General features: G+C 37.0%; 1 protein-coding gene across 6 annotated transcripts in view; it reads left to right on the plus strand.

Moving 5' to 3' along the window:
• GMCL1 (germ cell-less 1, spermatogenesis associated) overlaps window positions 1-24850 on the plus strand; it is a 51725-nt gene that overhangs the window by 1428 nt on the left and 25447 nt on the right. For 2 of the 6 annotated variants that reach the window (XR_007079574.1, NM_178439.5), the window contains exons 2-9: window positions 6460-6583; window positions 8370-8466; window positions 9855-9952; window positions 12062-12174; window positions 13044-13109; window positions 16456-16540; window positions 18565-18655; window positions 23736-23873. Coding sequence is in view for 5 of the 6 variants with exons in the window: in NM_178439.5 (NP_848526.1) it covers window positions 6460-6583; window positions 8370-8466; window positions 9855-9952; window positions 12062-12174; window positions 13044-13109; window positions 16456-16540; window positions 18565-18655; window positions 23736-23873 (812 nt within the window). In the remaining variant the exon portion in view is untranslated. Of the gene's footprint in view, window positions 1-6459; window positions 6584-8369; window positions 8467-9854; window positions 9953-10395; window positions 10466-12000; window positions 12175-13043; window positions 13110-13497; window positions 13781-16455; window positions 16541-18564; window positions 18656-23735; window positions 23874-24850 lie in introns of those variants that run through there. The other 4 variants (XM_011533033.3, XM_011533034.3, XM_017004705.2 and 1 more) reach the window with 4 other exon arrangements.

A 24850-nucleotide genomic window follows, 5' to 3' on the forward strand; every position in this document is an offset into this window, starting at 1 on the left:
TTTTCTGTTTTTAGTAGAGACAGGTTTCATCGTGTTGGCCAGGCTTGTCTCAAATTCCCGACCTCAGGTGATCTGCTGGCCTCAGCCTCCCAAAGTGCTGGAATTATAGGCGTGAGCCACTGCGCACCCGGCCTAAAATTAAACTTTAAAAGCAGATTCAAAAAGGTTTTGCTATACAAGTGTTATATATTGTAAAAAAGGAATCATAGATTAAAAACTTAATAGTTTGGTTTATAAAACCTTTTGTACCTTTTTTTGTATGAATATTTGTATTTATTATACAAAAATGTACCCCTACTGTGAATACTATTCAGTAACTTTTTTAATTGTTTGTTTGATTTTTGGAGCTTTTTTCTAAAGGAGTCTCACTATATTGCCCAGGCTGGTCTCAAACGCCTGGGTTGAAGCGATCCTCCCACCTAAGCCTCCCAAAGGGCTGAGATTACAGGTGTGAGCCACCATGCCTGACCCTGTAACCTTTTTGAAGCGTCAGTGTAGCATAGTTTTTTTTTCCTTTGGAAAAATTTTTCTCTATTTTGAGACAGGGTCTCGCTGTGTCGCCCAGGCTGGAATGCAGTGGTGGGATCATGACTCACTCTACCTCGACCTCACAGAATCAGGCAATTCTCCCACCTCAGCCTTCTGTGTAGCTGAGACCACAGGCATGCACCACCACACCCAGCTAATTTTTTTATTTGTAGAAACAAGGTCTCACTCTGTTGCCCACCCAGGCTGGCCTGGAACTCCTGGGTTCAAGTGATCCTGTTGCCTTGACCTCCCAAAGTGTTGGGATTACAGGTGTGAGCCACCATTGCCAACCTATAGCATAGTTTTAAGAGTTCTGAGTTCTTGGCCAGGTGCAGTGGCTCATGCCTATAATCCCAGCACTTTGGGAGGCTGAAGCAGACAGATCACCTGAGGTCAGGAGTTCAAAACCAGCCTGGCCAACATGGCGAAACCCTGTCTCTACTAAAAATATAAAAACTAACCAGTCGTGGTGGCAGCTGCCTGTAATCCCAGCTACTCGGGACGCTGAGGCAGAAGAATGGCTTGAACCTGGGAGGCGAGGTTGCAGTGAGCCAAGATCGCACAACTGCACTCCAGTCTGGGTGACAAAGTGAGACTCTGTCTCAAAAAAAAAAAAAAAATTCTGACTTCTTGTCTGTATTCTGCACTTAATAGCCTTATTTCCCTCATATGTAAATTGGAGATATAAATACCTGCCTTTTAGGCTTTGACAAATATGAGAACAAACAAATGCACAATGTCTAGAATGTAAGCATGCAGTAAATATGTCTCCTTGATGAATTGGCCCCTTTATCATAACAAAATGTTCATCCTTCTTTATCCCTAGTAATTTAGCCACTACCACATACATACATACATATATACATTTATTTATTTATATTTAGGGGGTACAGCTGCAGGTTTCTCACATGTATATAACAAGTAGTGGTGAAGTCTGGGATTGTAGTGTATCCATCAGCCACTTTCTTTTGATAAATGTCTGAATGATATCTTATTTTCCCTCCTTTCACTTTTTACCTGTGTATATTTAAAACAGATATCAAGTAAACAGCATATAGTTGAGTCTTGCTTCTTTTGTCCAACAGGACAATCTAACCTTTCAATTAGTAGTTAGACCACTTATATTTAACGTAATTATTGAAATATATGTCACAGTGCATTTGAAGGAGAGAAATCACACAGCAATTTGAATACAGGAAATTTAATATAAACATTATTAACAAGGCACAGAGAATTAACTACTGAGGACAAAACGCTAAGGTAAAGAGATCCCTAGAAAATACATGTAGTAGTCAGTACTTCTAAGGCTGAGGCAGAATAGCCACAGAAGGAACAAATTTGGAATAGGTGCCCCCACCCCTTTCCCAAGCTAAGATTCAGATGATGTTGAAGGAGGTGTGGCTGTAGCCCACTGGATGGTGGAAAAGTTTGCTCAAGTGTGGTAAGCTGAGGCTGGCAAGTAGGACACTGCCTACTAGGATGCCAACAAAATTATTTGGAGGCCTTTTGGCCCAGAAGGCTAAAGATATTTACTATCTAGACCTTTACAGAAAAAGTGTACCAACTCCTAGACTACATGAGTGGACTGGAATGGAAAGTTTTTAAGGCAAACCTTTATCGGAAAATGCATATCAGAATTTAGTGTCTGTATATTACTGGAAGATGCTTGGATTATTCAGCCCAATACGGATGCAGGGTGTAAGAAAATACTAAGACGGGCCAGGCGTGGTGGCTCACGCCTGTAATCCCAGCACTTTGGGAAGCCAAGGCAAGCAGATCACTTTAGGCCAGGAGTTTGAGACCAGCCTGACCAACACAGTGAAACCCCGCCTCTACCAAAAAATACAAAAATTAGCCAGGCTTGGTGGTGCACGCCTGTATTCCTAGCTACTTGGGAGGCTGAGGCAGGAGAATTACCTGAACTCAGGAGGCGGAGGTTGTAGTGAGCCAAGATTGCGCCACTGCGCTCCAGCCTGAGCAACAGAGTAAGACCCTGTCTCAAAAACTAAACAAATAAAAATTTAAAAGAGAAAGTATTAAGATGTTGAATTTTGTGTGTTGGCCCTAGTATATACTTCCTGAGGTTGTCTGGTGTGCTCTCCCACATCAACAGACCACTTTATGAGAAGTTTTAGCTTTTAGGCCCAACTTCCACCTCATACCTTTGTCAACTGCATGTTCTACTTTTACATTTACGAGACTGTTAAAACCCACACTGTTCTACAACCAGATCTTGAGTGTTTTGTCCGTAGCTTGTCTCTAAAAAATTGAAACGACATTACATAGTTATAACTAAGTAAATATTGTTTCAGAAGAGTTAAGTAGTATGCTAGGATTATAAATCATACTTGATGGGTCCAGTGTCACAACTGCTTGTCTGTTCAAAGGGAGAAATTTTTCTAACCTCACAGTCATATGGAATCTTTTCTTGTATTCCATCAAGTGCTTAAAGTCAGGCCCTGCTTTTGTTTTTATCTTATTTGGACAGTGCCTTTTTTTGTATTGCTTTTTTATTGTCCTAGAGTTTATAATGGCCTTTCCCCCACTCTTGTCAAAATAACAATATTCCTTCATCATGGCTTCGGGTTTTTCTGAAAAAACACAGAAAAGTCTTTTGAAACACACTTTCATGGAATCCTTCTCTAAAACCTAGACCTCTTCCATCCTCCTGTTCCAATCTGGATTTGTCTACTCTTATGCTGGGACTTACTTTCACCCCATCTCTAGGATTGAATCCACTATTTTGTGTAGCCTGCATTTCTTTCTCGCTTATTTTAGGAACTATTTAATACATCCTCAAGTATTTTCCAAGGAAGGGTGCAAAAGGGGGTAATTTGTGCGTATCTAAATATAAATTTAGTCTCTTTTACTTTATTCATCCTCTGACTGGGTATGGAAATCTAAAGTAACTTTCTTCATATCTTTGATGACGCTGCTTCATTGTCTTCAGGCCTACAGTCTTGATGAAAAATTTGATTCTGGTGTAATTCTCTTTTCAGGTGACCATTTTTGCTCTCTGGAACTTGTGGAACTTTTTCTTTGGTATTTTGGGATTTAATTAGAATGTGCTTAAGTGTGGGTCTTTTAATGGCCTTGGTACTTGTTGGATCCTTATAATCTGGAGACTCATATACTACCTTAGTTTTGGGAAATTTTTTTCCATTAATTTCTTCCATAATTTCCTTTCGCTTCTTATCTTTATTTTTTCTTTCTGGGATGCCTCTTAACTGGATTTTGGATTTCTTGGATTATGCCTGTCTCTTCTTTTTTCCTTTCTTTGTCTTTTTGCTTTATGTTCTGGGAAATTTCCTTTAACTTTTTCATCACTATCATTAGGTTGTTTGGCCCTAACTATGAGGTATTTCTTTTGGACCAGGGGTGAAAATTACTAAAATATGAAATGTGCTGTGATCCATGAAAGCTTGGGAACCTCTGCTCTACAAAGCATGCCCCACCTATAACCAACTTCGTAGTCTTCTTACTCAAAGAAGAGGTACCTTGGAAATAGATCTATTTACTCAATTAAAACACCATACATCAGTTATTCATTCTTAAATATAAGTGGACAAGCAAGGAAGGATCACCCAACATGAGGAAGAAAAACAAACAAACTATTCTTTGGTTTATTTGTTTTTTTAAATTTCAGTAATCATGTCTTTAGTCTCTAAAAGCTCTTTCTTGTTCTGAGTGATCCTTTATCATAGCAGTCTATGGGGTAAATATAATAATCTCAGATCTCTAGGTATACTGGTGAGAGGGTGTTTTTTTCCTCTCTTTTCCCTGAATTATATGTTTCCAGGGGTGGAGGGAGTCTCTCTGTCTCTCTGATATGCTCTTATTCTTCCTCATGGTGGGTGATCCTTCCTTGCTTGTCCACTTATATTTAAGAAGGAGTAACTGGTGTATGGTGTTTTAATTGAGGAAATAGATCTATTTCCAATGTACCTCTTCTTTGAGTAAGAAGACTACGAAGTTGGTTATAGGTGGGGCATGCTTTGTAGAGCAGAGGTTCCCAAGCTTTCATGGATCACAGCACATTTCATATTTTAGTAATTTTCACCCCTGGTCCAAAAGAAATACCTCATAGTTAGGGCCAAACAACCTAATGATAGCAGATTGCATGGTATCTGAAAGATGTTACTGTGTTTCCTTCGAATTTAAAATACTCCACATGCCTCTCTGAGTTGGCTGTGGTGCTCTAAGTTCAGATGGTATCCTGAACTGGTGAATTTCACACACGGTTTGGGAACCATGACTTAGGGTGAATGGATTGGGAGTGAACAGGCCACAGATTCTTTAAATTTCAGAATGAGGATTGCTTTGTCTGGGCACCAGCAGCTACACTACAGCCTTAGATCTTCCATTAGCTTTGTGCTATTTCTAGAAAAACCTTGGAATCTTTTTGCCTCAGTATCTGTACTCTCCTTATCTATACTCTGTGTTCATAGAGTGGAGAAGGCACTAGTTTCCCCATTTTCTGCCCCTCTTCTTACTTCTGCCTTTGTTTCCCTGAGACCTCATCCTTCTTTTCTCCCAAGGGTTCTGATGGGCAGATAAGCTTAGCCTCCATCCTAGTCCTCCATAATGTATTTTTTGGCTGTGGCTGTCACTGTTCTTTTTCATTTGAATTTGTTTTCTAACTTTCAGATCTGTATAAATCTCTCATCAAGTGATGAGCCTACCCTCACCTTTTCCTGGTGTGGACTTATTCCTTTTTTGTACTCTTAATCTTTAATGTAATTTGGGGAGGGATGGGAAGCCAACATGTGTACATTCTGCCGTCAGGAACTGGAAACTACATTGTCTCTTGATTTCGCATCATAACGAGTGAAGTGGATACTATTAATGTCCTCTTTTTACAGCTGTGATAACTGAGCAGCTGGGACTCAAACCCAAGTCTGTTACCACTAAGACATGTGCTGTTTTTATTGTCGGCTAGGAAGAGGTGTTAAGTACACAGGTGTTAAATTCGCCAATTCAGGATGTCATCTGAAACAATTACTTCATTTTTAAAAAGAGATTGAAGGTTTTATGTGCTAGGAAAGCTTTCAGAATTGGTCAGGAATTTAAGATATTGATCAGCCTCTGCCTAAGGCCTTTTCTTAGTTACTGGATCATTTTGAGCAATGATTTTCAAACTTTATTTTTTTAGTCAAGTCTTCCTTTAAATTAAATCTGTGCAGAAATCCAGTATGTTTACAGATAGAATAGGTGATGCTGCTCTGGTTGAAGTTAGATGGGATGCTCACAGTTCACTCCTTAGCTCTCCTTGGTGGCCCCTAAGACTTCTCCTTTGAGCAGTTTTAAAAACCTTTCATCTAAAATAAATAAATAAATAATTTTAAAAAACAAATAGGAAAAGAAAAGAAAACCTTTGATCTAAGGTTGCAAACCGTTTGTCCAGTGGCTGGAAAACATTTTAAGTAGTTTAAGAATAGGTTGGTACCAAAATAAGATTAAATGTAAATTATTTTAAAATTACTTGGGTAGGTGAAATGTTTACTCTTGTTCTCCATTTCCTACTTGCAGATTATTGCGCTATTTGAGCTCCTTCATAGTGCTGGTTTCTAAATAAGGAAATAAGCAAAAAATCAACATGCTAACTTCTTAATCTATTGAATGGGTAATTAAATTAGTCCAAAATTGCTAAAACATGTGTAGTGAAAAGTCTGCCTCCCATGCTGCCCCCCTTTCTCCACTATCTCTCCCGTGCATAGAGGACCCCAGAGATAACCACTATTATTAGTTTCTTATGTACTCTTCTAGACACAAGAAAATTTGAATATATACTATCTCCCTATCCTTTTACACAATAGGTAAGTTGACTCTATTTAATAGAAATTGAATAAAAGGAGTATTTAGAAATATATGCAAAATCAGTAAAACATTCAGTTTTATATAAATATGTGACTTTTTCATTTCTTTTAACAGGAAAAAATTAAAGAGTACATCTAAATATATTTATCAAACATTATTTTTGAATGGTGAAAACAGTGACATTAAGATTTGTGCTCTAGGAGAAGAATGGAGCTTACACAAAATATATTTATGTCAAGTAAGTATTTTTTCTATTTGAGTAACAGGGTAGTCACTGAAACTCTTAAGTCATGTTCTTCCTCATTGCACTTCACAGTAATCTTTTGCATGAACACCATAGTGGTTAAATCCTCTCATTTGATCAGTCTGTAAGAAAAATGGCAAACATTGTTAGTGAAAACTAAGTTTGGTCTAGAAAGAGATTTTGATATTTCAGTATCAGACTAGCCTAATACTACGTATTTGTCATTACTTCATAAAATGCTTTTTTCGGTGCCTTCTGTTGATAAAAGGGGAAAAGTTGGGGAAAAAATATTTAACATTAAAGTTAAGATTGTAGTGTTTATTTTGCTTATGGTTATTTAAATTGGATAAACTCATCTGAAATGTTGCTTTGTAGTTCACATTGAGTGTGAATAGAAAGTTCTCTCCTGAAAAATGCAGGTAAAGACAACACCAAAAAGTATATAGACTAAGTAGATTTCTGTACTGAAAATATTACTACCTGCCACCCCACTTTAAAAATTCAGAACTTTCATAGCTGACGTGGTGTTGGGCACCTGTAATCCCAGCTACTCAGGAGGCTGAGGCAGGAGAATTGCTTGAACCTGGGAGATGGAGGTTGCAGTGAGCTGAGATCGTACCACTGCATTCCAGCCTGGGCAACAGAGCGAGACTCTGTCTCAAAAAAAAAAAAAAAAAAAAAAAAAAAATCGGAGCTTTCAAAATAGAATACAATGTTGCTCTAATGGCCCAAATATTTTATTCATTTTCTTTCATCAAATCTATAAGCTAGGTATTGTTTGAGGCACTAGAAATAAAACAACAGTTTTTATCCTTTGGAACTTACATTTTTCCTCTTTACCATTTGAGAATAATTACTGGTAAGACAGCATAGTATAAAATTTTTCAGTAAAAGTATTTGAAAATGAATTGCCTTCTCTAACATTTTAATCATGTTTTAAAATGTGTTTTTGAAACAAATTTATTTTGGCTTGAAGTATGTTGCCCAGATACTATATCAGAATATTGCTTTTAACTTCAGGGTATGATTCATGTTGTTTCTTTTTAATATCTGAAAGCAGTTTTGTGAACTTGAGGGTAAGAATACCTCTGTTAAAACTTTACCCCTCGTGGAAGATGTATTATAATTCAAGCCACATGCTAAAATATAAGCCCCCTGAGGACAGAAACAATATCGATTTTGTTTATTGCTATATTCACAGTGCCTTCTACATACTAAGTACTCAGTAACATTTTTAAATAAATTAGTTAATATTTGATCCATTTCAAAGTAATTCTAATTATGAGGAGTGCTATCTGGCAGATACCTAAAGACTTCATTCTGTACCTTTCCAAGAATTCAGGTCCATTCTGGACATTTCTCATTAAACTAAATTTTGGATTTTCCCTGGTTTCTTTGGCGATCATCCTGTTTTTGCTGACTTGGGACTGGTTTGGTCCTTTATAGCCATTCAGGTGTACAGTAAAGATTCAACAGTTTGAGTAAAAAGCTAACCAGGTTCAAATAATATACATGAATTCAATTTAGATAGTAATATAAGAATTTTAGTTTTTTGTCAAAAATAGTACTAAACCAAAAGTATATTTTGATACACCTAATAGTGTCCTTATCTTAATTTCTTTTCTCCTGTGGACATATTTGGCAGTTCTTTTTCTGTTGAAGTAATAGAATGGATGAGTTTAGTTAATGGATAGAATAGTTGCTTAGAATTAGAAATGGGCAAATAATTTGGAAGACACAGAAAGTACTTGATAATCGTTGACTTTTTTTTTTGTTTAAGTCTGGCTACTTTTCTAGTATGTTCAGTGGTTCTTGGAAAGAATCCAGCATGAATATTATTGAACTGGAGATTCCTGACCAGAACATTGATGTAGAAGGTAACTACCACAATAATTACTATTATGCAACAATCGTAAAAACATAATCTTATTCTTCTGGTAGAAGATAAATAATTCCTTCCAGCCTTGTAGTCTAGAAAACTCCTTTTATCACCTCAAGGTGATAATTTGATGTTGATTTACACCATAGTTTATCAGTTCTGTCCATCTTATCACTAATCTGTTTTGTCATTTGGGCCTTATCAGTTTGTTTACTTATCTTTGTAAATATGCCCACCTGGGATATGGAAGATGTAGGATGGAGGAAGGAAAAGTATGACCATTTTTTTTTTTAATTACATAGAAAATCTGATAAATAATACTGATTATTCCCTATGTATGAAGATGTTTTCTGGGAACAATAAATAAAAATATTGTTTTAGAGCTAAAAGAATCCTTAGTTGAGGAAGCTGAGGCTCAGAGGAGTTAAGGGACTTATTTTGGATCTCAGAGCAGTTTAGTGAGCCTGTGTCAGACTACAGCTCTCCTCATTCCCATTCCAGTGCTCTTGCTGCTCCCCTCATTGGTGGTCCACATGGAAGTACCTGGTGCGATACAAAGGCAAAGAAATACTTTAGTTAAGAATATTTACAGCCTGTAATCCCAGCACGTTGGGAGGCCAAGGTGGGTGGATCACAAGGTCAGGAGATCGAGACCATCCTGGCTAACATGGTGAACCCCATCTCTACTTAAAAAAATACAAAAAATTAGCCAAGCGTGGTGGCAGGCACCTGTAGTCCCAGCTATTTGGGAGGCTGAGGCAGGAGAATGGCGTGAACCCGGGAGGCAGAGCTTGCAGTGAGCCGAGATCGCGCCACTGCACTCCAGCCTGGGCGACAGAGCGAGACTCCATCTCAAAAAAAAAAAAAAGAATATTTACAAAGCAAACCATGTGGGACATTCATAACAGTGGCAGTGGAGGAAGGATGAACAGGCATAGATCACTGTGGGGGCTGGGAATGAGTGTGGCATGGACAGGACTCAGGAGCTGTACCACATTTCTCAGTGGTGGAGTGCTGAAAGCAGCCGGGTTAAGATTATCTTTGAGTCTGCGTATTTGTACTTAACGATTGGTCTACTGAGGAGTATCTTATACAACTTCTTGCAAGGCATCTTGGTTGTGACCACTGATGTCAAGATTACATGTTAGAAGAATGCAGCTAGATTTGGTAGAATAAACAGAAATTTATAACCTTGTTATTAAATTAACAGTGTCAACCAGTAACCATTACTAGCGTTTTAATTAGAGATACTTCTGTTATCCTTTTATGTGCATGCCACATTTAGACGGATGTCTTTGTGTGTGAAGACAGTCGTTGTTGTTATTTGTATAACACTTGTAATAGATATAAATATTATTTCATCCTACATGTGTACCTTGCTTTCAGCACTGCAGGTTGCATTTGGTTCACTGTATCGAGATGATGTCTTGATAAAGCCCAGTCGAGTTGTTGCCATTTTGGCAGCAGCTTGTTTGCTGCAGTTGGTAAGTATGCACGTTATTCGAAGAAAGGTTCAGAATAATAATCTTTGTCTCAAAGTGTGTACTCCAAAAACAAAAATAAAGCTTAGCTTTTTTGGAGTTTTTAAATAAAAATGAAATGTATAAATATGACATTTATTATAAATCATTTAAAATGCCTAACCAAAAGCAATTTATTACAACCGAGGGAGTCATGATGTCTGCATAAAATGAATGCAGGCCATTTCTGTGTAGATATCTTAGTATGACTATAATGTGGAAAAAACGTACTTGTCTAAGGTCATTTACAGATTTCATTAATGACTTGACTATTAAGCAGATGGCTTATGATTACCAATTAATTTCATTCATGGGTTCAAATAAACATGCATGCCTACTATTTAAATTTCTCTTAATTTTGAAAGAATTGTGTATAAATCACATATATGTATTTTAATCTACTGGCAGAATGACAGATTTGTTCATTGAAGAGAAGTGTGTTGAGCACTGTGTCAAACTAGACACAGAAAGCCAAAGGTAACTTAAGACGTAATCCTTACTTTCAAAAAGTTCACAACATAGTATGTATGTGTGGAGAGGGGAGGGAGGGTTGATATACAAACCCAAAGGTAAAGTAAGAGCTGTTCAATATTATAGGTATGATAATAAACATCCTGTAGCATTTAGTGAATGGATAAAGAAGGGAGTGGTCAGTTCATCCTGGTGGTGTCACATACGAAAGTTACATTTTCACACAGAGTCTTGAAAGTGTGTTTGTATTGCAAAGTAAGAAGAGGGGAAGGAAGAGCATTTCAGACAGAGAGAACAGAGTAAACTAAGATCTAGTGATGTGAAATAATGGAGGATTCAAGACTCTAACAGAAACATGGCTCCCACATAAACATAAGAAGGATTGCAGAAGAGGGGGGCAGAAGCCAGATCATGAAAATACATCTATACATTGCTAAGAAGTTTAGCATACACAGTACCTTTGGAATATTTTAATCAGGGGAAAGACGAAGTTATGTTTTAGAAAGAATACTTCAGTAACAATGTGACAGATGAATTGAAGGAAAGATGAGTACAGCATTAGAGACAAAAACTTGTTGCATTCGTCCAAGGGAGGAAAGTAGGGTAGTAGCAATAAGCTTGGAGGGGAAAAAGTGGATACCAGAGAGATTCAGGGATAATCCACTGGACTTGGTGATAGACTAAATGTTAAGAGGAAAGGGGAGGAGTCTAGAATGATTTCCAGGTAAGTTTAAAATCCTAATGGAGTCAATGTTTTATTTTAATCTTAAAAAATTGTTTACTTTTATGTGGTATTTTTGTACTGATTTATTTGAAGTATTAATAGCTTGCTAAATATCCTTGGTTGAGATCATTTGATTTTCAAAATGTTTTGATCCTTTCAATACTTACTTCCAATAAGTATACTTTATTATCTAACTCTGGTCCTTTTGGTTTTGTTCTAAATTCACCTTCTGCTTACTTTTATGATTTACTAACTCTTTAACTTAATATACCTGCATGATGAATGTATTTCAGAAATTTGAATGAAAAGTAGTATTCTTCCCATATATTAAAGTTAGTTCACTTAAAACCTATATAAACATTTTAGGTTAAAACTTTAATGTTAATCATTTGAAATAATAATATACTTGTTTTAAGTCTATCTCTTAGATATTGTAGTTATTTTAAACTTGATCACTTTCTGCTAATGCATACTGTTAGTTTAGTCCCATCACATGGTTAACTGACTATGTAGACTTCTTAATTTAAAAAGAAATGGCAAAACAGACAAAATGCTGCTAAAGAAATTTGCAAAGGTCTCAGACAGGGGAAGAATAGAAAAGAAAAAGAATAGCAGTATTCATTCTCTACCTTACTACTCCCCCCCACCTTCCATTTTCAAATTCCAAGTATTTAGTTGAATACTTGCTGAACTTTTTTCAGTATTTTTATTGGACTTGTTAAAAAAAAAAAAAAAAACTTAGGTTTGCTGCACTTAATGAGTTTTCTTTCTTTTCTTTCTTCTTTTTTTTTTTCTTTTACTTTTTAATATGTAAAAGCTGTCAGAGCTAATTTTTCCCACGTGAAATGGGCCTTTCCAGTGCTTATTTATATTTACAGGACGGTTTAATACAGCAGTGTGGTGAGACAATGAAGGAAACAGTTAATGTGAAAACTGTATGTGGCTATTACACATCAGCAGGGACCTATGGATTAGATTCTGTAAAGAAAAAGTGAGTTGCCTTTCTTGTTTTTCTTCCTATCCCACTTTTAGGAATTTGGTTGCTTTAGTTTCTTAAGAGAATGTATAGCTATAAGAAAGAAAGAATTAAGGAAAAATAGGATAGGGGGATGGAATTTTATTAAATAAAAAGCCCCTTTTAACTTTTGGACTAATTAGTAAATTCCTCAAAAGTGTCGTCTTTGTAAGTGACCATAGGTGGGTTATATACATGCTTATAAAAACCATGGTCACCTTGGTCGGGTGTGGTGGCTAACACCTGTAATCCCAGTGGTTTGGGAGGCCAAGGCAGAAAGATCACTTGGGCCCAGGAGATTAAGACCAGCCTGAGCAATGTAGGGAGACCCCATCTCTACAAAAAATTTTAAAAATTAGCCAGGCATGGTGGCATGCACCTGTGGTCCCCACTATTCTGGAGGCTGAGGTCAGAGGATTCTTTGAGCCCAGGAGGTTCAAGACTGCAATGAGCCGTGATCATGCCACTGCACTTTATAGTATATTTTCTATTAAAATTGTTTAAGAAGTAGGCCTGATAGACTGACAGTCCTTCTAACTCTTGAGAGTTGCAGTACCTGTTTTGAGATTTTAAAGAAGGTTATACTAGTATGCAGACCCCTTAATAAACTATTTAACACAAACTCAAAATGAAGTTTTAAAACTGGAAATGCTCTCGTTAATATAAAGGAAATATTCTCTTAATAATATCCACTGACAAAAATAATACTAAATTTCCTATTGTTAAGCTAAAAGTTTTGAGCATGTTCTGGCAAGATTAATCTGATTTTATTTTAACTATAAGTCCTACTTAATAAATTGTAAATACATGGCATATAATGTAATAATTATATATTTTAATTTCAGGTGCCTTGAATGGCTTCTAAACAATTTGATGACTCACCAGAATGTTGAACTTTTTAAAGAACTCAGGTATTTGAATTTCAAGTAACTTCATAATTAGTCATCCTAAAATATTGTTTATCATTTGTTAAAGTACATAACATTTTTGTAGAACACAAAAATATATTATGAAAAAGCAAACAATTTAATGAAAGGGCTTGACTACATCCATAAACTGAAGAAATGCTGTGCAAACTTATTTCTTTGTTGTGAATAATATAATGGATATTATGTCTACTGTTTTAACCGAAAAATGCATTACTGTTATAAGACTATAGAAAAGTTTCAGGTTTTGCCAGGCTGTTAGAGAATTTAAAAGTTATATTTTAAAAATCATCTTTTTTATTGAGAAATAAGTTTGAAGAAACTGTTTTGGCCTTTTTTTTTTTTTTTTTTTACCTTCAAAAACTTTTCATGTTGATCCGTTTTCTCACTAGGATGAATTCTCTGATGTGGAGTAACAAATGTGTGTCTCCTATAAATGTATATTTTTCCATCTCTGATTATTTCACACCTTGAATCCAAATCTGTAGTCCCAGCTACTCTGGAGGCTGAGGCAGGAGGATTGCTTAAGCCATAGAGGTCAAGGTTGCAGTGAGCTGTGATTGCGACACTGCTCTCCAGCCTCAGTGAGAGTGAGACAAGTTACCATGGTTCTTCACCGTCACCTCCTGGTACAAGGTCTTCTGAACCAGGTCAAGGTATTCCCACTCCTGATGAGAGAAGTCTGTGGCCATGTCCCTGAATGTTACAAATTCACAGGCCATGGTTTTAGACAAGCAAAAGCCAATCAGTCCTCAGGGTTTCTCTACCAGAAAAGCGATTTGGGAAAACCTAGACCTATAATCCCAGCACTTTGGGAGGCCAAGGTGGGAGGATTGCTTGAATCTAGGAGTTCGAGATCATCCTGGGCAACATAGTGACATCCCCTCTCTTTGAGAAAATATCAATCTTCCTTTAAAAAAAACCTGTTAGCGCCACACAGGGTCCCATGCAGGCTTCAGGCTGGGGCTGCAGAGGCTCCTGCAGTCAACTGCGCCGCCTTCGTCCTCAAGCGGGACCTGGTCAGACGCAGCACAGCGCAGAGCCAGAGGTCCTGGAGATGGAGCCAGAGGTCCAAGATTTCTCCATCACCTGTGGACTATGTAGTCCAAGCTGGAATAATAGGACCGCAGTCACCCGTGAGAAATGGATTCCAGGGTTCTAAAAACCTACAAGAAATATGGCGGTGACAATGAGGACTGCCCACCCTGCCCACCACCCAAGCTGCAGAGCAGCCTTTCTTTTTTAAAGAGATGGGGGCCTTGGTATGTTGCCCAGGCTAGACTCAAACTCCTGAGCTCAAGCAGTCCTCCTGCCTCAGCCTCCAAGTAGCAGGGATTATAGGCACATACCACTGCACCCAGCTTAGTTTGGCTTTTTGGATTAAGTACGCATATTATCCATTTATTCCTGCAGCAAGTACTTCCTGACTGTCCTTTATATGTAAAGATACTCTATTAGGGGCTGTGAAGAATGCAGAGATGATTTTGTCATGGTCTCTTGCTGTCAAAGAGCTTATTTGTAGTAATGGGACTAAGATATTTGTGATGGGTCTGAGAAAATCTGGCTAGCAGTTAACTTTTGAAGGCTGGTTGGCATTACAGTCATTTTCTGGCTTGCATTTCCCTGACAGCAGTGCTTCTGAGACAAGGATACAAATGTGTCCGAGAGTATGTGACATTCTGATGGAAATGTACAAAACCAAAGTCAAACATTACATAGCTTCCCAGAATGTGAATTTTACTGATTTTTTTTTTTTTTTTGGTGGGGAGGAGGTGGGGAAGAGGTAAATATTTTTATGTTTAAATACATTATGGAATAGAGGGAATTCAAATTTCCTTGAACTCTCAAGATACAATTTATAGAAATGTTACTTTTTATGGTTAGACCACCTCCTAGATTATGGGGTTTTTTTCCTTTCTTTTGCCTTTACGAGATAATTTGGTAGAGAAGTGTGAGAGACTTTCATCACCTGGTGATGTCAAGGCATAAATAAATCACCGTAGAATGTTTGATTTGAAAATCGTTAGAAACACTTTAATACAGTCAACCCTGCTTATCCATGGGTTCTCCATTTGTGGATTCTACCAACTGCCGATTGAAAAGATTTGGGGGAAAAACTATAAAAAATAATAACAAAAAAACCCAATGTAGTATGACAACTATTGCATAACATTTACATTGTATTAGGTACTGTAAGAACACCTAGAGATGATTTAAAGTATATGAGAGGATGTGCATAGGTTACATGCAAATACTATGCCATTTTATATAAGGGACTTGAGCATAGAGGATTTTGGTATTTGTAGGAGGTTCTGAAACCAATCCCCCACAGATACAGGGGGATGACTCTAATTTCTCACTGAACTTTTTGAAAAAGGAGCAGGATCCTCTTAAAAACCCACGTGCTCTCTTGGCTTTTTATGGCTCAAAGGAAAGAAAGAACAAAGGAAAAGCAAAACAAAACAAATAACTGGTGATATCATTTTCACTCTAAATAACTAGCACGTTTCTTGATCTTATTGTCTTGAATAGTACTAAAACCATAGTTTATGACTAAGCAATTCTCTTAAGCCTAGAGGTTAAAGATTACTTTGACGATATAGCTGTTTTAGTGTCTTTTTTTTTTTGGTTTTGGAGACAGTGTCTTGCTCTGTTGCCCAGGCTGGAGTGCAGTGGTAACAGTCTTGGCTCACTGCAGCCTCCACCTCTTGGGCTCAAGCGATCCTTCCCACCCCTTCAGCCTCCCGAGTAGCTGGGACTACAGGTGCACACCAACATGATTGGCTAATTTTTTTTTTTTTTTTTTTGGTAGCACGAGGTCTCACCATGTTGTCCAGGCTGGTCTCAAACATCTGGCCTCAAATGATTCTCCTGCCTCCCAAAGTGCTGGGATTACAGATGTGAGCCACTATGCCTGGCCTTTTTTTAAAGAACAAAACAAAACGTAGAAGTGGAGTGGTGGAAGGCAAAAGAGGAAGACTGCCATTTTATCAGAGCATACTTAAAGTTATCTTACCGGAACCTTGCTTTAACTTGATTAATCAGCAGATCAGAGCTCTTTGTTTCCCTATCAGTGTGAAAAGGACCTTTCACAGCACACTATCTGAATTAAAAGTATCCTTGTATCCAGATAGATTGCACTATCTGAATTAAAAGTATCCTTGTATCCAGATAGATTGTTTTCTAAGATTCTTTGTCTTGGGCAGAAGGACTGCTGTCATTTTTAATTCCACATATTTTTTTACAAGAAAGACTTAAAGCTTTTATTTCTACCAGGATCCTTTAGCCTGTGCCTAAAGATAAGCTCACTCCCTCTATTTATCCTTTTCAGTATAAATGTCATGAAACAGCTCATTGGTTCATCTAACTTATTTGTGATGCAAGTGGAGATGGATATATACACTGCTCTAAAAAAGGTACTGACGTAATATGATGTCATATTATACAAGGATGTCACCTCAGCAATGCGTATAATGGTGAAAAACTGGAAACAGTATCCAGTAATAAAGGGATGGTTATAAATGTAGGAAAAGGAAATAGGCCGAAACCTTAAAAAGTCTTTATATTTAGGGATTTGGAATCATTAGTGATTTTAACTTTATTTTTTGTACTTTTCTATTTTAGGAATACTTTTCTGTTTTTTCCCAGACTTTTCTTTAACAAAAAATATGTTATTGCTATTTGTTTATTTACATAATCAAAAATGTTTTATATTGTTTTTAGGAACGTTTTCAAAGTTGAGCTTCAGTTAATGATGGCATTTTTACACACGCTTTTTCTAAGAAATGTTGAAATTTTTCTTTTAAAGGCCTGTTTGTGTGTCTGGCATATGTTTTACTTCATGCTTTTGAAAAGTTTCAACATTTAAAAAATCTAATTTTATTTTCACAACTCTTTGAAGACACAGATCAGCCATTATTCTTCCATGTAGATAGTGAGACTCAGAGCAGGTTTGAGGCAGAGACTGGGTCTTGGGAGTCCTAGTCCATTGCCCTCTTCCTACTGCATAATCCTGCCTTTACCCTTTTGTCCGCAAAACAGTGTTGTGAGTATTTAACACAGTTGTGAAACTTCAGACTGAGACACTTTCTAGCTTATCTCATAGGGACTCTTTGTTTGTTTGTTTCTATGGTAGAGGTGAAATTTTGTTACTGTTTTTCTTCAAGGAACTTTACTATCTGGGCTATCCAATCTTTTAAAAAATTGGTGCAGAGGTCAGGCACAGTGGCTTACGCCTGTAATCCCAGCAATTTGGGAGGCCCAGGCTGGCGGATCGCTTGAGGCCTGGAGTTCAAGATCAGCTTGGGTAACATGGCAAAAACCCCTCTCTACAAAAAATACAAAAGATTAGCTGGGTGTGGTGGTTCGTGCCTGTAGTCCCAGCTACTCAGCAGGCTGAGGTGGGAGGATCACCTGAGCCTAGGAGGTGGAGCCTGCAGTGAGTTGTCACAGTGGCATTCATTTCTGTTATTAAAACTGCTTTTTGCCAGTAATGGTAAGTACTAATACTTACAGGATGTTTACGTGCCGTGCACCATTCTAAGTATTTATGTATATTAAATATTTTAATGTCCTATGAGGTAAACATATTATCATGCTCATTTTACAAATGAAGAAATTAAGGCCCAGAGATACTAGGTAATGTGCCCGGCTCTTAAGTGCCAGGTTCAGGATTTAAAAGTTTTTGCTCTTACCTACTCTGCGTATTATCTCAGCAGCAGTAAGACAAAGAAGCTCCTTTTTCCCATGTTCATTTCTTGCTTTTATAATCTCATATAGTATTTAGTGAAATTGAGTTGTTAGTAGAATAAATTAGTATAAAATTTCTAATTAATATACATATATATTAAACCTTTACCTTTTTAATACAGTAATCTCCAGTGTGTTACCATAAATACTTCTGAAGGATTGGCTTACTCCTTAGCACACACATCCAATTTTTATCACTGGACTATGATTTTTTTTTCTTTTTTCCTGGAGACAAGGTCTCGCTCTGTCACCTAGACTAGAACATAGTGGTGCGATCATGGCTCACTGCACCTCGACCTCTAGGGCTCAAAAGGTTCTCTCACCTCAGCCTCTTGAGTAGCTGGGACTCCAGATGCATACCACTATGCCCAGCTAGTTTTTTTTCTGTGTGTAGAGATGGGGTTTGACCATGTTTCCCAGGCTGGTCTAAACCTCTCTCAAGTGATCTGCCCACCTTGGCCTCCCAAGTGCTGGGATTATAGGTGTGAGCCACAGCACCCAGCCATTGGACTATGATAATGCCATGATAAATTGAGTGCTTATAGTTGTACTTTCTTTCTTGCAATTGCTGGTAAAGTAGAAGTTAAATTTTTTAGCTATTATATTTTAAGGTGAAAGCAATTTGAAAATGTAAAATCATAAAATGATGAAATTTCATAATTGTTTTCTTATTTAATTTTTTTTAACTTAGTGGATGTTCCTTCAACTTGTGCCTTCTTGGAATGGATCTTTAAAACAGCTTTTGACAGAAACAGATGTCTGGTTTTCTAAACAGAGGAAAGGTAGGCCTGAAGTTTTTGAGAACTTGTCTTTTAAAAGGAAATTTGTTAAAATCAGGCCCCATGAGAACAGAAAATAAATAAATTAATTAATTAAATGAAATCAGGCCCTGACTTGTTTATAGACTTAATTTTAGAGCTTGGAGAAGACCTTAGCAATTATCTACTTCACCCCTCATTTACAGTGAGAAAATCAAGGCTAGATAAGAAAAATACCTTAACTATCATTATCTGAATTGTTACTCCTTGAACTGTCATCATACTCTTGATCGCCAAAAACTATTGTTTTTCCCATTTTATCACTAACAGATCTTGTTGATTGCATTTGTCTTGACCACACTGAGTTTTCTCTAACAAGCTATACCCCGTCAGGCAACCATTCTTAACATAGGGGCCATAGATAGGCTTTCATGTGTCACTGACTCCCAAAAGTGGGTACAGAATTTGATATGTGTGTGTGCTGCTGCATACATTTGTGAGAGGAGAGCTTCCATACCTTCCGTCAGATTCTTAGTGGAGACTGATCTAAAATTGGTTAAGATCAACTGCTATAAGGTCTTATCTGTGCAAAGGAGGGCATGCAATATAAAAAAAATACATGTGTATACTAAGTTAAAATGTATGTATGTTATTTTTTACTTTGCTAAAACATATCTAGAAAAAGTATTTTTTACGGCTGTCAGGTGCAAAGAACTGGATAAATCCTTAGTTCGTGATTTTCTTAGTTTATGGCCACCTTTTTGGTTTATTTTTAATACGTTGAGCCTTTGTGACCTAATCTTTGAGTACTAGAACATCAGTAACTTCAGTCTTAACTCATGTGCTTCTTTTCTATTGTGTCCCTCTGACTTTTCCTAACCACTATCTTGAACTTCATGTTTATTCTTTTGCTTTATAAATATATATTATTGCACCATGTATATACGTCTTAACATATATTACATAGTGGTGTGCTAATAAGCTGACTCTGAAAAAATAATCCTTGATTAGTACCATTTCTTAATTCCCATGGTACAAATTTTCCCATCATGGCTGATTGATTGCAAGCTACCAACATGACATCACTGAATGAGAAAGGAGATGCACACAGCTCCTATGAGCTAGCAGCAACACGCCACTGTATAATATATCATTTTGTTTTAGTTGTTATGGAACTATGTCACATTGTGGCCTTAATTTTAATGTCCTTTATAACTAAAGAGATTGAATGACTCTTAATATGGTTATTAGCCATATGTTTCCTCTTCTGTGAGATATCTGTTCAGGTATGTTTCCTATTTTAATGTCAGATTTGTCTTTTCTTATTGATTTGTAGGCATTCTTTATGTATTCCTGATAACTAATCCTTTGTCATACATATGTTCTGCACTTCCAGTTTGTAGGTTATCTTTTTAATTTATTAAAGATGTCTTTTTGGTTGGGTGCCGTGGCTCATGCCTGTAATCCCAGCACTTTGGGAGGTCAAGGCAGGAGGCTCACTTGAGACCAGGAGTTCAAGGACAGCCTGGGCAACATATCAAGACCCTGTCCCTACAAAAAGTTTAAAGAATTAGCAGGGCAGCCTGGCACGGAGGCTGATGCCTGTACTCCCAGCACTTTGGGAGGCTGACGCCTGTACTCCCAGCGCTTTGGGAGGCTGAGGTGGGCAGATCACAAGGTCAGGAGTTGGAGACCAGCGTGGCCAACATGGTGAAACCCTGTCTCTACTAAAAATACAAAAATTAGCCGGGTATGGTGGTGGTCGCCTATAATCCCAGCTGCTAGGGAGGCTGAAGGAGGAGAATCGCTGGAAACCAGAAGGCGGAAGTTGCAGGGGGCCGAGATTGCGCCATTGCACTCCAGCCTGGGCAACGAGCAAAACTCTGTCTCAAAAAAAAAGAATTAGCAGGGCGTGGTGGCATGTACTTGTCTGTATTCCCAGCTACTGGGGGGAGGATCACCTGACCCTGGGGGTGTCAGGGCTGCAGTGAGCCATGGCCACACACCACTGCACTCCAGCCTGGACAGCAGAGTGAGACCCTGTCTCAAAAGGAAAAAAAATGTCTTTTGATGAATAGATATTCTTAGTTTTAAAATTTCATGCTCTTTATATCTTAGTTAAATACATTTTATAGAATTATTTTATGTAGTCAAATTACCTACCTCAGAGCCAGATAAATTAATTTTCTATAAAGTTCCTGAAGTAAAAATGTGTAAAGAACCATATCAGTGAAATATAACTTGATTTCCTTGAAGAACAAAAATACTAAACTTGTATCTTAAATTATACTTTTGTGTTACGTTATGGCAATTAAAGAAGGACTAGGGAAATTATAGAGGAGAAAAGTAGGGGAAAGCATTTAAATAGAAGAGAGAGAAAAGCTGAAAGAGACAAGGATGGTGAAGAAGTTAAAAAGACAAAGAGACTCAGTAGAAACAGTAGATATTAGGCAAATGTTGATAGAACCTTATGATCATTTGTGCTCCAGATAGATCCACCACAGCAATCAATCAAAAGAGAAATTGCCCTGTAGCCTAAGTGGCAGAAACTAGAGAAGCAAGCTGTGGTCCACTTCTGGATTCCCACTTGAGGCTCTCCCTCCCAGCCCCTGAGGTGTGAAAGTATACAGTTCAAGATAACTTTTCAAGGAGACATTGATTGCACAAACCAAAATGTATGTCTGATGCTCTTGTTTTTCTATGAAGATTTTACAGAGTCATTTTCAATAGTTTTAAAATTATAAATAAGATGCATACTTAGGAAATAGGATAGAAAAATCACCTGTGATCCCTCACTCGTTATATTTTGGCATATGTCTGTCTGTCTTTTTTTTTTTGAGACAGAGTCTTGCTCTGTCACCCAGGCTGGAAGTGCAGTGGTGCGATCTTGGCTCAGTGCAACCTCCACCTCCCAGATTCAAGCAATTCTCCTGCCTCAGCCTCCCGAGTAGCTGGGACTACAGGTGCATGCCACCACACCCAGCTAATATTTTGTATTTTTAGTACAGATGGAGTTTGCCATGTTGGCCAGGCTGGTCTTGAACTTCTGTCCTCGAGTGATCTGCCTGCCTCGGCCTCCCAATGTGCTAGGATTACAGGCATGAGCCACCACACCTGCCATATATTTTTGTATATTTCTTTTAAGTTTTCTTAATTATTTGACTTTTCAGATCTATATGGATCAGGACTACAAGAAACAACAGAAATTTAGAAAGTTTTCTACACAATTATACTTAAGGATTGCTATTGAATTTGGCTGATGGAATAAGTATGGCCACATGTTGTCCAGCAAGAAACTTTAAAACATTTTTTTTGGTTCTATAAATTCTTACAGAAGTAAATGAGCCAGTCTCTTCTACAGCCGTGACGAAAAGGCTTCATGAGTTAGAATCACCAGATTTCTATGAGACAATCCAGAATTAGATTTTTATATCTTGTTCATGTGACAGAACACTTGTAAAAACAAAATGGTATTCTCAGCACACCCCCTGAAATTGGCACATTTAATTCAACATATGAACTGGAACCAATGTTGTTATTTTTAAACTCAAGAGATATAAATCCACTGTCACACACCTGTTGTATAAATAAGTGAAGTTAACTATTAATTTTTTAATGAATTTACTGCTTTCTTGTTTGCTTTGCTGACTCTAGGCAGGTGCCAAGGGAATACAAAAAATATATGAGATAATGTGGAAATTCTTTTCATTAACTTGGCTGTCTTTTTACAATTTTCAGGAAAAAAATATTTTAGTGGGGAACACCTTCTGGTCTACAGAAAACCTGTGTTCCATGTGAAGCATGGTTTGAGACATAATAGTCTATAATGGCAACTGTCATGTTTTTCTCCTTATCCTTAATAGCAACAGGACTGGGTATACATACTCTCCTGGGTATATGTCGTTTAACAGAAAACATAGACTAGGGCTCATGCACAAATACCTGTTTGATAGCAGTAACTCTAAACCTTTCCTTCTGACTCATGAAAGCACACTGGAATGTAACTGAGGGTAATTTTTAGGAATAACCTTAAATTCTCCCTAAAAGAAAAAAAATTATATACTTCATAAACTTGAATTATTCTATTTTCTTTTCTTTTTTTGAGACAGAGTTTCACTCTGTCACCCAGGCTAGAGTGCAGTGGCGCAATCTCAGCTCACTGCATCCTCTGCCTCCCGGGTTTAAGCAATTCTCTGCCTCAGCCTCCCAGTTAGCTGGGTTTACAGATGCCCACTACCACACCCAGCTAATTTTTTTTGTATTTTTAGTAGAGACAGGGTTTCATCATCTTGGCCAGGCTGATCTTGAACTCCTGACCTCGTGATCCACCCTCCTCGGCCTCCCAAAGTGTTGGGATTACAGGCGTGAGCCACCACGCCCAGCCAAATTATTCTATTTTCAGTATTATTATTATTATTATTATTATTATTATCATTATTACTTATTTTAGAGACAAGTTCTTGCTCTGTCACACAGGCTGGAGTGCAGTGGTGCAATCATAGCTCACTGCAAGCTGAAACTCCTGGGCTCAAGCAATCTTTCCACCTCAGCCTCCTGAGTAGCTGGGATCACAGGCGTGAGCCACCACGCCTAGCCATACAGTGTCTTTCTTATTTTGTATTTCAATAGAGAATTAATATATTAACTAGTGTTCATTACATGTAGCTGAAATGTAAGTTAAAAGAAATTAAGAGATATTCTTTGTCCTGTGTACCTTATCCTTGAGTGAGGCTTTTGGGCTCCAGAGTTTCACTGGCCTGTTCAGGTCTTGGGAGGGGGATTCTGGCGAGAATGTGTAATCCTAAGTACCTTTCTCAAGCCTTCCTTTCCCAACTTGCTGCACTATACATGCCAAATGCCCAGAAACAGCTGAATTCCCAGCCTGGGGGTTTCATTAAGACCAAAGTTAATTTCCTGGGATTTTAAAATAAATCTCCTTATGTTCTTATCTGTAAACCTAAGGTTTATAAAATTCTTGAGAACTTTAAAACTAGCTTATTTTGTATTCTAATAGACATGAATGTACGTATCCCCCGTCCACAAAAACATTTAAGAATAATAGGTTTGAAAAGAATGGCTGTTTAACTTACATGGTTTTTTATAGATTTTGAAGGTATGGCCTTTCTTGAAACTGAACAAGGAAAACCATTTGTGTCAGTATTCAGACATTTAAGGTTACAATATATTATCAGTGATCTGGCTTCTGCAAGAATTATTGAACAAGATGCTGTAGTACCTTCAGGTAAGAGAACATAATTTGTAATTTTAAGTAATATATTTCTGATTATAAAGTAATATAGATCATAGAAAAGAACAAGGAAAGAAGTAGAAATTATTATTAATCCCAAAAAGGTATACATCTTTATGCCAAAGTGGAATCATCCTATAGAAGTAATTTTCTGTGCTTACATATCATGAGTATTTTCCCATATCATATTTCATGAAATACTCTCTAGAATATTTAAATGATTATCTAGTATTCTGTAATATGGATGTTCTTTAATTTAATAAACCAGTACATGATTTTGGATGAGACTTTTTAAAATGACTTTTGAAGTATTTAAAGATCATAAGTGATTTTTCTATTAGTGCTCCTTAAATTTGTTTATTTTGATTTTTTCTTATTCTAAAGTCTTAAACTTCATGTTGAAGCAAATGTGTCTTTGCTAATTATAATTTAAATTTTTTGAAATAACTACTGATTTACCTTTCTGAGTTAAATCTCTAGTGCTTGTGAATAATTCTATTTAGTACTATATATACATATACAAAATTGAAAATAGAATTTCTGTTTGAACATTTACATGTAATGTTTGTAGTAATAATTATAGATTTGTCTAAAAAGTTGTGATTATTTTTGACACCTTAATTGTGACATAGCTATATGTTTATAGATTTTTGTTCCTGATATCTGTATACTTATTTGGAAAGAAATTGAAGGGAAGGAAAACTTAGAGTTAACTCTTCTGGTATATTTGGAAGTGATGCATTTTTATAAAATCACTTTAGCAAGTTTATAGATACTGTTTAAGTCACAAATTCTCTGAATTTTACATTGCTTATAGTATAGCAGTTCTATAATAGTTTTAGTATCTGTTAAATACCAGGCCCTAGCAATAATGTAATGTTAGATGCCAAAGCCAATTACATATGCCGCTCTAACTGTACTTCCTTTTAAGGCTTTTTGCAAATGTATTTTGTAAGAGATTGGGGAAAAGT

The sequence above is a fragment of the Homo sapiens genome, chromosome 2 (assembly GCF_000001405.40).
Source record: "Homo sapiens chromosome 2, GRCh38.p14 Primary Assembly".
NCBI classification, from domain to species: domain Eukaryota; kingdom Metazoa; phylum Chordata; class Mammalia; order Primates; family Hominidae; genus Homo; species Homo sapiens.